This window comes from Homo sapiens, chromosome 11 (genome assembly GCF_000001405.40).
Source record: "Homo sapiens chromosome 11, GRCh38.p14 Primary Assembly".
Taxonomy (NCBI): domain Eukaryota; kingdom Metazoa; phylum Chordata; class Mammalia; order Primates; family Hominidae; genus Homo; species Homo sapiens.
Window position 1 is genome coordinate 126473866 of NC_000011.10, and position 14504 is coordinate 126488369.

The 14504-nt window shown below is 51.7% G+C and overlaps 1 protein-coding gene across 17 annotated transcripts in view, besides 2 other annotated features; it reads right to left on the reverse strand.

The window, feature by feature from the left end:
- Window positions 1-14504, reverse strand: part of KIRREL3 (kirre like nephrin family adhesion molecule 3) — a 580037-nt gene that overhangs the window by 50508 nt on the left and 515025 nt on the right. The gene's annotated exons all lie outside the window — the stretch shown is intronic.
- Window positions 5033-5534: an enhancer, noted in NCBI's record as "H3K4me1 hESC enhancer chr11:126348793-126349294 (GRCh37/hg19 assembly coordinates)". NCBI's record gives its function as "activates a minimal SCP1, AML or CMV promoter by ChIP-STARR-seq in primed H9 embryonic stem cells {active_cell/tissue: H9 hESC(primed)}" and the evidence as "EXISTENCE:reporter gene assay evidence [ECO:0000049][PMID:30033119]".
- Window positions 12415-12915: an enhancer, noted in NCBI's record as "H3K4me1 hESC enhancer chr11:126356175-126356675 (GRCh37/hg19 assembly coordinates)". NCBI's record gives its function as "activates a minimal SCP1, AML or CMV promoter by ChIP-STARR-seq in primed H9 embryonic stem cells {active_cell/tissue: H9 hESC(primed)}" and the evidence as "EXISTENCE:reporter gene assay evidence [ECO:0000049][PMID:30033119]".

Here is a 14504-nt window from a genome sequence, read left to right on the forward strand (position 1 = left end):
TCACTGCAACCTCTGCCTCCCAGGTTCAAGTGATTCTCCTGCCTTAGCCTCCCAAGTAGCTGGGACTACAAGCACGTGGTACCATGCCCGGCTAATTTTTTTTTTTTTTTGTATTTTAAGTAGAGTTGGGGTTTCAACATGTTGGCCAGGCTGGTCTTGAACTCCTGACCTCAGGTGATCTGCTTGCCTTGCCTCCCAAAGTGCTAGGATTACAGGCCTGAGCCACCATGCCCGGCCAACACCTGGTTAATTTTTGTATTTTTAGTAGAGATGGGGTTTCACCATGTTGGCCAGGCTGGTCTCGAACTCCTGACCTCAGGTAATCCACCCGCCTCAGGCTCCCAAAGTGCTGGGATTACAGGCGTGAGCCACGGCACCTGGCTTTTCTTTTTTCTTTAAATGAAGCACTGTCACACCTGCTGTCTGAGTTAGTCCTCACAACAGTCTGGTGAGGTCAACATTACCACCCCAATGACACAGATCCGGAAGCCGAGTTCCAGCAAGATTAGTGACTGGCTCAAGGTCACATGGTGGCAGAGCCAGGGCTGGAGGCCAGGCCCAGGGAACCTGGGAGCACCAGGCCGGCCCCTTCCCTGGCAGGGAGCAGGGTACAGGGCAGCCCTTCACAGTGGAGCCAGCGCTTCGGAGGGCTGTGTAAGCGCTGGCATCTCCTGAGCTCCTCACTCCTCCAGAGCGGCTCCAGCCCCTTCATCCCCAGAGGCAGCCTGATTCTCTCCTGTCCCAGCCTTCCACTGCATTTTGTAGTAGGGTCAGAGACGGGTGGCTCCCATCAAGGGATCCTGAGTGCCAGGAAGAGGGCCATCCGCGTCGGAGCACGGTCTCCGCAGTGCCCAGCACAGAGCCCTGTGCTGGGGAAACTCCACTGACATTTGCTGGCCCCACTGGGGTCACCCTTTGATTCCGATGAGGACCATGGGCTGAAGGATGGTGGATGATCATGGTTTGGAGGAGAGGCCCAGAAATCTGAAGTACCTTGCCTAGGACACAGGGCCTTTCCCATGCTTGTGCTTGGGGACACGTTGAGAGTCTCAGGCCTCTGCTGCTCCCTGGACAAGCCACAGAAGGGACAGGAGGTGAGGCGACTGTCCTCTGAGGAATCCCTGTTTCCCTTACCCCAGGAGGAGCTGGGCCCACCAGCTCTGGAGGCTGAGAGAGGCCCAGGGCCTCTGGACACATCAAGACGTGAGCTGTCTGTGTACACAGCAAACACAGAAGGGGTAGTTGGATAACGGGGGCGTGGGAACCTAGCACAAAGGGTCCTCTCTGCCTGGTGGCCAGAGAAGCCCGCCCTTCTATGCAGGCTCTGTGCTCGGGGCTCTGGGCTGGAGAAGTTCAGAGCTGAACAGTCACAGCTCCGGGCCCGTCCTGACTCCACTGGCTCAGCCTTCCAGCCTCAGCCTGCATGGGAACTTCCCTCCCCTTCTCAGGGGATCGCCCCGTCAGCCCTTCTCCTAGTCCACTCCGGCTTCTGTGAAAGCTCCAGGAGGGACAGGAAGCCCCAGTGGGGGCCGGTAAGAAGCCAAGAAGCAAACCTTCAGAACAGCTGCCTTGCCCTCCCTGCCCGGCCTTGGAGGCCTGCTCCCACACTAACAGCACAGCAGTGCCATTTCCTGAGGAACAAGCAACCTCCCAGGGCTTCCGAGAAGCCATCACTGACCCCAGGGGCAGCGAGCCCCGGACTCCACCGAGATCCTGGCTCAGGAACAGAGTCTGCCTCAGGCAACCCTGCCTGGCCCTGGGCTCTTGAGCCGGGAGGAAGCAGGCATGAATGGGATGGATGGAGAAGACGACCCCCCAGCCGCCCACCCCACACCCTTTCATTAGTGCCCATGGGCCTCCTTGGGGTGGGCCTGGCCACAGGGCAAAACGGAGGCGGCTCAGGGCTTTCCACCAAGTGGGGGTGGGTGCAACCACTTGTGGAGGAGGGGAATTGCATCTCCACGCGGTGAGTGGGGGACTTGCAGCAGGAAGAGCAGGGCTCAGAGGTGGCCAGCCTTCACCCTTCTTTCTTCAAGGCAGCCTCCCCGACCAGGATGGAGGAGCTCGGGCTCCATGAGCTAGCTGAGGGCCTGGAAAAAGAGCCACGTGGAGCCCTGGGGACAGCCTGGATACCTGGGGCCTCAGCCTTCCCAGTGACTGTGGAAAGTGCCTGAGAGCAGAGGGTGGAGCAGGAAGCCCCTTCTCTCAGGGTGGCTTCAGGTGCAAACGTGAGAGCTCGGAGGATCTGGGAACTGACCGCTCTCCAGCACGGACATTTACTGGGCCTTGGACAGGGGTTTGAAGCCTTGACTGCATGCTCCTCTGCAGAGGTTTTAAAACCTCACTGCGGGCCACACCCTGAGCAGCCAAGTCCCAGTCTCTGGAGGGGACCCCAGGCATCAGGACTTTGGGGAGCTCCCCAGGGGGTCCCATGGCAGGACCAGCTTTCTGGGCTCTGGACTCTGGGCTGAGGGGCAGGAGCCTCTGCTTGCTCTGAGCACAGTGCAGCCACCAAGGCCTTCCCGAGAATCCAAGACCCAGAGGACGGGCCCTTCCTCCTTGTGGCTGGAGTGTTGTGTTACTGGAATATCGGATTAGAGGCAGCGAGGACGAGGGAGGAGGGAGTGGGGCGTGTTGTGGGAGTGCTCAGGCACACGCACAGCCACGCACATACATCCACCCTCAGAATGGGGCCTGATTACATCTTCCCAAATAAGTGGTTATCATGCTGGGTATTCATGTAGCCAGGCATTATTGATTGGTCTTCGCTTCACTGCACACCAGATGGGGGTGGGGGCTGGGGGGGGGTGGGGGTTGGTGAGGATGGAGGATGTTTGGGGGCCAGCAGGCTGAAGAGAAATCAGCAGTCGCTCTTGGCAGCTGTGTCTGGCGTGGAAGGGGGCTCCTCATTACCTCCCCATTCAGACTCGGCCAGGCTGGGCCAGGCAGTGGCGAGGGGAGGAAGTTTCAGAGTGGTCCCCGCTTGGAGATGTATTATTCATCACCCCCTCGCAGGATTGGTTATTATCCTCAACCACTATAGAGTTTGGGCTTCTAATTTTTAATCACAAGGAAGGTGGAGGCGTTAGCCTTTTCGTGATTAATCCGGAGATAAAAATAGTTGACTGTTTTGGTGTTGTGCTTGTTGTCAGTCAGGAAAAAAATGGCATTAACTGTTGGGGCACTGAAGCCTGGGGAGGACTGAGCGGATCCCAGGCAGAGTGGGTCCCCAGAGCTGGAAGCCAGCCTAAGAGGCCACAGCGCGGCCTTAGCCGGGGGTGGCTGAGCGACACTCCTGCACCCAGCTGGCTCCTGGGGCATTGATTATGAAAGAAACACATCATCGCGGGATGCTGAGCTCTTTACAGTTTACTCTCCCATTGGCCAGGACTGGAGCAGGCAGCTTCAGTCTCCCTCCCTGCTCTGCCCCTACCTGCCCAGCTCTGCAGACTTTGCCTTGTTTGGGTGGGCGGTGGGGGTACCCGTCCCTTTCCCTGTGTGTGGGAGGGAGCCCCCAAAAGCTTTCCCCAAGTTCTGCTGCCAAAGACAATGGGGTCTCGGGTGGACAGGTGGCATGGGGAGAGGGAAATTGAGGCCAGAGAGCACAAGAGGCTGACCCAAAGTTACCAGTGACGAGAGCAAAGAAGGGTGAGGGTGGGCTTGGGACGCACATCCTGGCTGTAACTGGAGAGGTAAAGCTTTCATCTATTTCACGCACTAAGGTTCTCTCTAACCTCTATACTCCCCTTTTTTTAGAGACAGTTTGCCAGGTTGGCCAGCCTCGTCTGAGCAGGCTGGAAAAACTCTCTTGGTGCCAGGACAAGGACAGCACTGAGGGAATTTCCTCCAGTGTCCACTTGGTCACCCAACTGAGACCTGGCTGGGCTTCCAGGAATTCCTCGATGCTCCATCAGCCTGGGATGGTTGGTCTCTGAGCATGGCTGATCGGTGGCAGCTGGAGGGGTGGGGGACCAGCAGCACCACCCTCCTGCCCCCATACTGCATGGTGGAGAACCTCATAGACACCCAGCCCTTTGGAGAGCAAGACTGGTTCTCATTTGACTCAATGAGCAGCGAGTTCCCCACAATGCTGGCAGAGTGGGTCTATCACCAACACCAAACCCTCCAGGGGCTTCCCGCTGAAGGAGAGTAGGTGTTGCCTGCAAGCACCAGCACTTACGGCCCTCGCTGCCCCTGGGGCCTCGGTCTGTTCCAACCACTCCTTACACAGCAGACCCTGGCCCCACTGCGTCTCTGCTGCTCAGCAAACCCAGCTCCTTCCGGGGCCGGGCTTGCCCTGCTCCTCTCTGTCTGTAACGCTCTTTCCTGTTCCTCACTCTGCTGGCTCTTCCCGTCAATGAAGGTGCAGCTTCAAGAGCCCTTCAGTGACTCTCCACTACCCACCCCTGCACTTTCTGGATCACTGGGTTCATTTATTATCTGTCACCGTTCTAGAAAGGACAACAAAGACCTTATCTATCTTGGTCATTGTGATATTGCTGTATCACACAGTAGGCGCTAAAGAAATATTTGTTGAATATATTATTTGTTAAATAAAAGAATCTCAGAAGGGGAGTGGGGATGGGGCCGGGGGGACGGTTATCATGGGCTTTGGCTTCTGAGGTCAGCGTTTTAAATCTTGTGTGTGTGTATGTGTGTGTGTATATATGTGTGTACATGTGTGTATATGTGTGTATGTGTATATATGTGTGTACACGTGTGTATGTGTATATGTATATGCATGTATATGTGTGTATGTGTGTATGCGTGTGTATGTGTGTATGTATGTGTATATGTATATATGTATGTGTATGTATGTGCATGTAGATGTACATGTGTGTATACATGTGTATGGGTGTGTGTATACATGTGTATGTAAGTGTGTGTGTGTATATGTGTGTGTATATGTGTGTTTGTGTGTGTGCATGCATGTGTGTGTGCATTGGGTACAGTTGGGAACGGGCTGCGTGAGTAGTGGGAGGGAGGAGGGCAAAGCAGGAGCCCTTCTGAGGCCAGCTGGGACAGCGCTGTAGGAACTCTGCGCTGCTGTGGCATCAGGGTTGGTGCTCCCTGTCTCTCCTCGAGAGAGGGAAGCCTGGCTGAGGGGGGCTTGGTGCTGGGAGCTGATTCTCAGCCTGTTTCTCCGTGGCTGCTGTCCTCTGATTTGTCTGGAACATAGGATGGGAGAGGGCGGCAGGCCGAGCATGGTGACAGATCAGAGACACTTGGCTGAGTGGGGAGAAGGACGTTTGTGGGTTCTTTGATTTTGTTCTGCCGCAGACCCAGGGGCTCTGGGAGAGTCAGTGCTAGGAGTTCCAGCACTGACTACAGTGGAGGGAGGATGCCGAAGCCTCGGGGTGCATCTCCCACACCTTCAGCATCTTCTCCATCCCCAGGTTCCCCGCTGCAGCCCTGCAGTCAGCCTGCCATGTGTCCTGCCCTCCTGCCTCCCTCCCTCCCAACCTTTCTCTCACCAGCCTCCTCCATGTCACAAGCTGAGGCTATGATAGCTGAGTGAAGCCATACACGGCCTGCCATCTTAGAGCTGATGGGGAGGCCCTTGCCACTCCAGGCCAGTGCCCAAGACGGACATGTGTGCAGCCTTGGCACCTCCTGGGAGCTTGTTAGAAAAGCAGACTCTTGTGCTCCACCTCAGACCTCCTAAGTCAAAATCTGCCTTTGAAAAGACCCCAGACAATTCACATACATTTTCAAGCTGGAGGAGCGCTGCTCTAAGGGTTCCGAGGTAGAAATCATGACAAACTGACAAGTGCTATGAAGGGAAGGCTCACTGGACAAAGAGCACGTGTGGGGACCCTTGATCCCTTCACAGGCTGCCTGCTCCCTTCGCTCCCCCGGGGCCGGCCAGAGAAAGGGGCAGACTGCTCCCTGCTTACTAGCTTTGGAGTTACACGATCTTGTTTCAGAACAGCTTCCTTTGTGTATGCCGTTTCTTTAGCTTGGAATGCTGGCGTTCTCCTGGACCACTGGTCTTCTCCTGGGTCACTCTTACACACCCTTTGAGACTTAGTTCAGAGGGCACCCTCTCTGAGCGGCCTTTCTAGAATCTGCCAGTTGGGCCAAGTGTATAGGGCTTCTGTCTATGATCCCACAGCATCCTGGGCATCCCCTGACTCACTAGCTACCACATCCTATGGAAATCTCTCTGTGTGTGTCTCTTCCCTGAACCATGATCTCCATCCGGATCCCCATCTCCCAGCAGAGTGCCTGCCTGCTGCACAGGGCACAGGGTGGCATATGCATTTGCTGAGCTGAACTTGACTTGAGTCGATCACTTTATGAGCCATATGATTGTAGACAAGTTATATAATCCGACAACCTTAATCCTCTTATCTGGGAAGTGAGATAATAAAAATACCTATCTTGCAGGGTTATCATGAGGATTACCTTACAATATGAAAGATACACAGAGAACATTGTAAAAGGCTATACAAATGTAGGTTATTATGTCTAATTTTTAGGAATAATATTTAGGTTTGTGGCTGTGTGAAAAGTGCTGAGCCAAGGTCCTCTCATTTTATTCTCAATATCTTTTGAGGCAGGGACTATTAGGGTCTTCATTTTATAGGTTAAGAAGCTGAGACTCAGAGAGGGCAAATTACTTGGCAAAGACCACACAGCCATAAGTGGTGAAGTTGGAATTTAGACTCGAGATTTTGACCCTACAACATGTTCTGTTGGAGTTAGAGCAGCTCCCAGACTATCCCTGCAGCTGCAGCAGCCCTTCCACTAACCCCTGCCTTTGTCCTGGCCCTAGAGCTCTGCGAAGCGGGCTCTCTGCCTGTCCCAGGGGGCATTCAGACCTGGCAGGTACTCTCCTCCCTTCCCTCCCCGCAGTCTGAATTTCAGAGGGCCCCAGGAAGCATGAGCCTGGCTCGCAGTTGGTGCTTTGGCGATGTCTGCTAAGGGAACGGACGAATGTTGTTTGTAGTCCGCCCAGCTCTTTGCTGCCTTTTGTGGTTTTGCCCGGTTCTCTGGTTCTGGGCCGCGTGTAATCCCAGCTTCCGGTTTCCTCACGTATACAGATGCGCCACCTAATGGCCACAATGGAGAACTGCAGGATGTAGAGACAAGAGGGAGCTGACCTGGTTTTAAGAGTCAGCTTCCCAGTGGTAGCCGAACAATGTTTGGAGAAATTCGTATTGAGCACCTACTATACGCCAGGCCCTTTCTAAACACTAGGGACAAGAAGCTTCTGCCCTAGTGGAGTTTACCTTCTAGTGGGAGAGACAGACAATAAATGAATACACAAATACATACATAATACAAGGTTAGGTGTTGATAAGTACTAGAAGGAAAGTAACACTGGGCAGGGAATAGATACATCCTAAATTGGCCTCCGGGATTCCCTCCTGGCTTTTCTCCTTCCTCTCTGGTTGTTACTTTTTGTTTTCTTCCCACCCCTTAAATGCTGGTCTTCCCTAGTTAGCTCTTGCTGGCCATATCTCATTTGACACACTATCTAATGGAAAACCTTCACTTTTCTGTGAACTCAACTCACATCTTTAAGCTGACGAATTCCAAAGAAGCATCTCAGGCCAGACCTCTCTCTTGAGCTCCAGAGTCATGACCCAACTGTCCACGGGCCTTCGAAGCTCAGCAGGTGTGACACCACACCCACCGCCTCTCCCAGACACCCATCCATCCCCATATTCTGTATTTTGGAGAATGGCCCCACTGTTTGGGGACCAAGTCAGAAATCTGGGGGTCTTTCTGGATTCCACTCTCAGTCACCCTGTCTTGCCAACTAGCCTGGTTAACCCTCTGAAGTATCGCTCAGATTTGTCTCTTTCCATTCCCACAGGCTTCCTGGATCAGCCATCATCCTTTTGTGCTTGGATTACAATAGTGCTTCTCCCCTCCATCTCCTAGTCCTCTGTGCTTTTCCAGAGTGACTGTTACAGAAGTCTGAATATTCACCTATCCAGTCAACCAGTAATTCACCCACCATGTGCTGAATGTCTAGCATTCCTCTGTTTCAAATCCTCTGAAAGTCCCTCATTGCCATCTAAATAGTCTGAACTTCTTGGCCACTGCTGACTCTTCGGCCTTGCTTTTCATCACTTCTTACCTCAATTCCTCCTTGTGGATAAGAGCCACCTGCATTTGTTGGAGTAAATCGCTTTTCCCCAATTGCCCCTTTCCATTTTTTATTTATTTATCTTTTTTGAGACAGAGTTTCACTCTTGTTGCCCAGGCTGGAGTGCAATGGCATGATCTCGGCTCACTGCAACCTCTGCCTCCTGGGTTCAAGTGATTCTCCTGCCTCAGCCTCCTGAGTAGCTGGGATTACAAGTGCCCACCATCATGCCTGGCTAATTTTTGTATTTTTAGTAGAGATGGAGTTTCACCATGTTGGCTAGGCTGGTCTCGAACTCCTGACCTCAGGTGATCCACCTGCCTTGGTCTCCCAAAATGCTGGGATTACAGGCATGAACCACCGTGCCGGGCCTGCCCCTTTCCTTTTGCTTTGCTAACTTGAAGGTCGGGCAGCTTGGGTTTGAATCCTGGGTGCTATGTTTACTGGCTTGTGGCCATGGGAAAACTGCTTAGCTTCTCTGTGCCTCAGTGTCCTTATTTGTAAAATATGAATTAAAATAACAAAACCAGATTCACTGTATAGTTGCCAGGGTCAAGGAAGATGTAACATGAGAAAATGCTTTGTAAAGGGTCTGATGGATGATGTGGCATGTTATTGGTTCTCTAAGCAGACTGGGCTCATTCCTTTGAAAGGCGATAGACGGGCAGGGGAGCTGGGACTTAGAAGTCCCAGATTGCCCCCTTGGTAAAGCAGAGGTCTATGTCCTTTTCCCTGCTTTGCCCTGCTGGGAGCTGGGTGAAGACCCTGCTGCTCCCATGGGTGATTCCACGCTGCCCTGCCTGGCTTGGCATCCCCTCCCTCTGGGCCCCCCCACATTCTGTGCCAACTGAGGCACACACTGCTTATGGGCTGCAAAGGCACATGTGAGCCCCATGTGGAGCAGAGAGATGAGCCATCTCAGCTGAGCTCAGCCCAGATTGCTGACTCACAGTTTTGGAGTGGTTTATTATGCAGTATCTGCATTCAGAACACAATACTCCAAGATATCGCATCTTAGAAGTTGAGAAAACAGCAGAAGCAAAAAGTTTACTCTCCAATCCCCTGCCTTCCTGGGCGAGAGCTAGCTGTAAAAAATTCTTTGACCCATCTCCCCTGAAACTAGGTCATGAGATCCTCATTCCAGAGGGATCCTGCCCTATACTCAGAGGAAAGAAACGGTGTACAGGAACTCAAAGAGGAATGCAGGCAAGGCCTTGCTAAGTTCTTCTGGTTTGTTACCATGAGGTCATACCCCCTTTTTTGTCCAATCACATTTCTGCACAACTGCCCATTCTTTGTTGAACATAAGCCTACAAATACACAATTTTCCCATGGCATTTGGGCCTTCATTTCTGAAAGCTCACATAAAACTTTGGTTAAATACATCTGTTGCACTTTTCTCTTCTTAATCTATCGTTTGTTACACGGGTGTCAGCTGCAAACCTTGTAATGGATGAGGAAAATATATTACTTTTTCTCCCCTGCAGCAGCAAAAGCTAACTGATGTAACCCAGTAGTCCCCTGCTGTTTGATTCAGAACTGGGCCCACGGCATCAACTGTCTCTCCACTTCCCTCCGATCCATTCTCCCTCCACTATGGCCAGGTGACTGTTCTGGAAGCTCGGTCTGCTGCTCACAATGTTCAATGGTTCCCACTGCTCCAGCACAAAAATCAATTCCTCATCATGGGGGCCTTCCCCGGTTCTCTCCAGTGAGGTCTCATCTCTGCAGCTTTCTCCTGTGTGACCATTAACTCTTCTGTGAGGATAGCCTGCCCTTTTACAAATACACGCTTTGGCTTGTGAAGTTCCCTTTGCTGGGAATCTCCTTGCCTGAGTCTTAACTGGCTGGAATCCCAGCCTCTTTTCAATCAGCTCAAAGGCCTATCATGCCTTGTTAACTCTTGGTTATTCTTTAAGACTCAGGCTATTGTCACCTCCTCCACAAAGTCTTCTCTCAATCTCAACCCCTGACTCTCCCACCTGCAGCCTCTGCACTGCCATAAGACCATGTGCCCGCCTCAGCAGGTACATGTGGTGCCTGGCGCCATTACCACCTGTTGTTCCCCTGAGGCTGTGAGCTCCTTGAGGGCTGGTCCTTGCCAAATTCTCTCTCTAGTACTTAGTACAGTGCCTGGCATAGTGAGCACTTAATAAATACTTGTTGCCTGGTGCCTTGCCTGATCCCACTGAATTAGAAGCCCCCTCCCCACCTGAGCACCTCTTACACTGGTCCTCACCACATCTCTATTGCATTGACTTGTGGACCTGTTTCAGGTTCCCTACAGTTGCAGGGTAGGAGTCCTGGCGCCTCTTTGCCTGTCTCCCATTGCCTAGTATGTTACCTTGGATGCAGTCATAAAAAAACAGCACCAATAATATGAATAATAGCTAACATTGATATAGGGCTTACCACACAGCAAGAACTCTTCTGTGTACTTTACAAATATCCTTTAATCCTCACAGCTCTATATAAGGTAGATACAATGACGATGCATATTTTGGAGGTGAGGAAACAGCCACAAAGTAGTCAAGTTACTTGCCCAACATCACATAGCTAGTAAGCAGCAGAGCTGGGATATGGGTAGGGTTTCCAGACTTAACAAATCAAAGAACAGTAGGCCCTGTTAAATGTAAATTTCAGATAAATTAAAAAATGGTAGTGTAAGTATGTTTATCTGAAATTCACATTTAACAGGGAATCCTGTATTTTATCTGGCAATCCTGTAGATGTGTTAATTACATATATGTGATTTAATTAATGTAGGTGTGCTTTCCCCCTCTTCAGACCCTCCCCGCCTCCACTTAGGTCTATATTAAGAAGATGTGGGGCAAGATGCAAATGGGATTTTTTTTTTTTTTTTTCTGAGACGGAGTCTCGCTCTTGTCACCCAGGCTGGAGTGCAATGGCACAATGTAGGCTCACTGCAGCCTCCGCCTCCCAGGTTCAAGCGATTCTCCTGCCTCAGCCTTTTAAATAGCTGGGATTACAGGCACCTGCCACCACGCCTGGCTGATATTTTTTGGTACTTTTGGTGGAGACGGGGTTTCGTCATGTTGGCCAGGCTGGTCTCAAACGCCTGACCTCAGGTGATCCGCCCACCTTAGCCTCCAAAGTGCTGGGATTACAGCTGTGAGCCACTGCGCCCGGCCACAAGTGGGATTGTTAAAGGATGTGGCATCCGATATATTTGGCAGCACAATCGCACAGACGTGTCTCCAAGGAGGTTGGGGACAGAGAGAAAAGAGGAACAAGGAGCAAGACGCAGGTTTAGGATGATGGCATGTAGCTCAGAGGAAGGTGTGCTGGAGGCTGTTTCAGTTCTGCTCCTAACCTGGGGGTGGGGGGAACCCTGAACTAGCTGACTTCAGAGGTCCCCTGCAAAGGTTTGGGACACTGGGAAGCCCACTTCTCAGCTGGAGCTCATATTGTTTAGGGGATAAGAAGGGAGGCCCTGAAGTCAGAGTGCCTGGCTGGGCTTCTGGCTCCGTCATTCACTGGCCACGTGACCATGTGCAAATTCTCTGTGCTGGATGATGTTAATGTCATAGATATTATAGTAGCTGTTGTACAGGGCTGGTGTGCTGTTTAAATGAGTTCATGTAAGAGTTATGCAGTGTCTTGTCCCAGAGCTTGGCACTGTAGTAAGAACCCACTAAATTTTAGCTCTTAGTATTATTGTTGTTTATTTAATAAGTAACTCCACATGGGGGCAGAGTAGCATATTGCATGTGAAATGGGCTTGTTTCCACCTCTTGTTCTGCTATTACCTTGTTCCATGCCCAGCCCTGGACTCCTGAGATGGAATGGTCAGTACCTTGCCTCAAAGCACCTTTAAACCACTAGAGCGATGACAAGGAGGTCACAGACCCAAAGATCCCACAGCTGTACAGGTCTGATGGGCAGCCCTGCTGCCTTTAGGCAGGAGACCCCAAGGGAGGGAGGGCTAGTCCAGTGGGCCAGGGAAAGGGAGCCAGGTGCTGTCAGGGTCAAAGTCAGCAGTGGCTTGGTTCGCTCCTTAAATTAGGAAGGGTGAATGTCCTGTTTATATTTGGTTAAACCCTGAAAGAGGGTCTGAGCATCTCAGGGCAGAGCTACTTGTGAGGAGACAGACGTTTCATTAATAATGAGTAGGGATGTAAGTCTCAGGCTGTATGCAGAGTGGAGGAAGGGAGGTGGGTAGAGAAGGGAGCTGCAGTGATTTGCACTCAAGCAGACCAGTGTGCCTGTGCCGGCTCCAGATGACAGAGGGTGCTACGTGGCCGCCGTCTGCACAGCAAGGGTGAGAGGGCTTGGGAGAGGCCAGCAGAGAAGGGACAGTGGGGTGGGGGAGTGCATCAAACTGGAGAGAGGAAGGGGTGAGTAGGGCTGGGGCAGGAAGGCCAGTGTGTGGTGCTGGGTGGCTTACACTCACCCTCCCAGTCCTGCGGAGCGAGAGACTTTCTCCTTTCTCCAGCCCAGCTCCTATGCTGATGGCTGCAGGATGGGTGAGAGCGCTTCTTAGGTGTGTTTGCAGGAATAACCGGCACATGCCCCCTTGCAGCCGCTCACAAAGCTCTCCAGCTGGTTTCGACCTTAACCTGATTTGGGGTCTCTTTTGCTCAACACAGCTGGGTTGGTGGGAAAAGCCCATCATGGTGGCTGCCGTGGACTTGTATAATCCATGCTTCATGGTATGGTGGGCCCTTGCAGTAGCCTTATTTCATAGGTGGGTAAACTGAGGCATAGGCTGGCCAAAACATTTGGGGCAAGTCACGCAACTGGCAAGGACTCTGGCTCAGATCCTGCTGCCCCAACCACTCAGTCCTAACTGCGGTACCATAGGCTGTGCTAGCAGGAGGATCTGCATTGGTTCACTTCGGTAGCTTTAATAGCATCAAGGCAGCCATCCTGACCCAGCAAAGGGCCAGGCAGGGACTTGGAGTGTCCCCGCTGGTCCCATAAATAGAAGCAGAACTGATATAGTTGGTTTTGCTATGGGCTCCCCATCCGGTAAATCCACCTCCTCAACGAGCCTCATAGTTTCAGTAAGGACGAAAATGAGGCCAGGTAGAAATCCTGCCTACCGATACCCTGGAGCCTCAGAAGTCTTAGCAGAAATGGAGGGGCGCAGGAAGATGGTCATTACATTAAGGGGTTTAAAAAATAAGCACAAGACATTCCAGTAGCTTTCTTTTGAGATGACAGATTAGGAATACTGTGTTTTGCAGGATAAAAGCATGCATTTGTTCCATATCTTGGTTGGTTACAGGCCAGCAGGGCAGGCAGGAGGAGGGAATAGAGAGGTGACCATGAGACAGAAGGGCAAAAATTAAAAAGACAGGCAAAGAGGCAAAGACACAGGGCGGGGCGTGGGGTGCAAGTCACCTGCTCAGGAAGAAGATGGATGTGGGGAGACACACACAGTCCTTTGGGATGGAGCACCATAAAACCAAATGGCAGTGTTCCAAGGAAGGAAACAAGCAAAACACTTTCTCTAGGCCTCTTGCTACAAACACTCATTTCAGGGAATCCCAGAAAATCACTAAAATATACCTTTCAACTTTATGCAAATTTACCAGATCCACTGTTTGCCAGAATCCTAAGAGGAAAAAGTCAAAATCCTTTTCCGACCTGAGCCTTCTTCTTTTTTTGTTTTTTCTCAAAAAGTACAAGCTTCTACATTTGAAAAAGGGCAATATTTTTAGAACTCATTAGATGAAAGTGTTTTAATTCTCATCTACAGTCTGGCCTTATAGTTATTTTTTGAAATCTCCTCTGTTCCTCATTTTTCACATTTGCCCCATTCTGGGGAGGGAGGCCTGGCCTTTTTACCCTGTGGGGACAGTCACTGGAAGTGAGCTTCCTGTCTTTAGCCACAGACAACTCCAGAGTGGAACTCAGCAGGGAGTTGGCCGCCCCGCACTCCAGCATGAGTCCTTCTGTCCTGTCCTGAAAGGGGTAAAGAGAAACTTGGTAGCACCGCAGCTTCCACTACGGGGTGCCGCTCACAGAAGGCGGAGGTGGAGGGAGGGAATGGCCTCTTCCCCCAGGGTGTCTTCTTTCGCTCCATCACTGTTGAGGTGGGATGGGGCTGGTTTTGGCACTAGAGTGCTTACGATCAGAATAAGCCCCTTATTCAGAATAAGAAGAGCTTGGTTACTGGGTAAGGAGGGGACTGTGGGCCTCCTATGTTCATCTGAGACCTATTCACCGGGGCAGGGAGGGACTCCTCATCTGGCTCTGATTATCCCTACAATTAAGTTTGCTGGTGTTGGTGGGGATGGCTTTGGGGCCACCCAGGCCCCTGCATCTCCAGCCCTTGGTGGGTGATGTCAGGCAGGTGAAGAAAGGGCACAGCCTTTGCTCTCAGACAGAGCTGGGAATGATCCCACAGGGTGACCCTGAACAAGTTTATCAACCT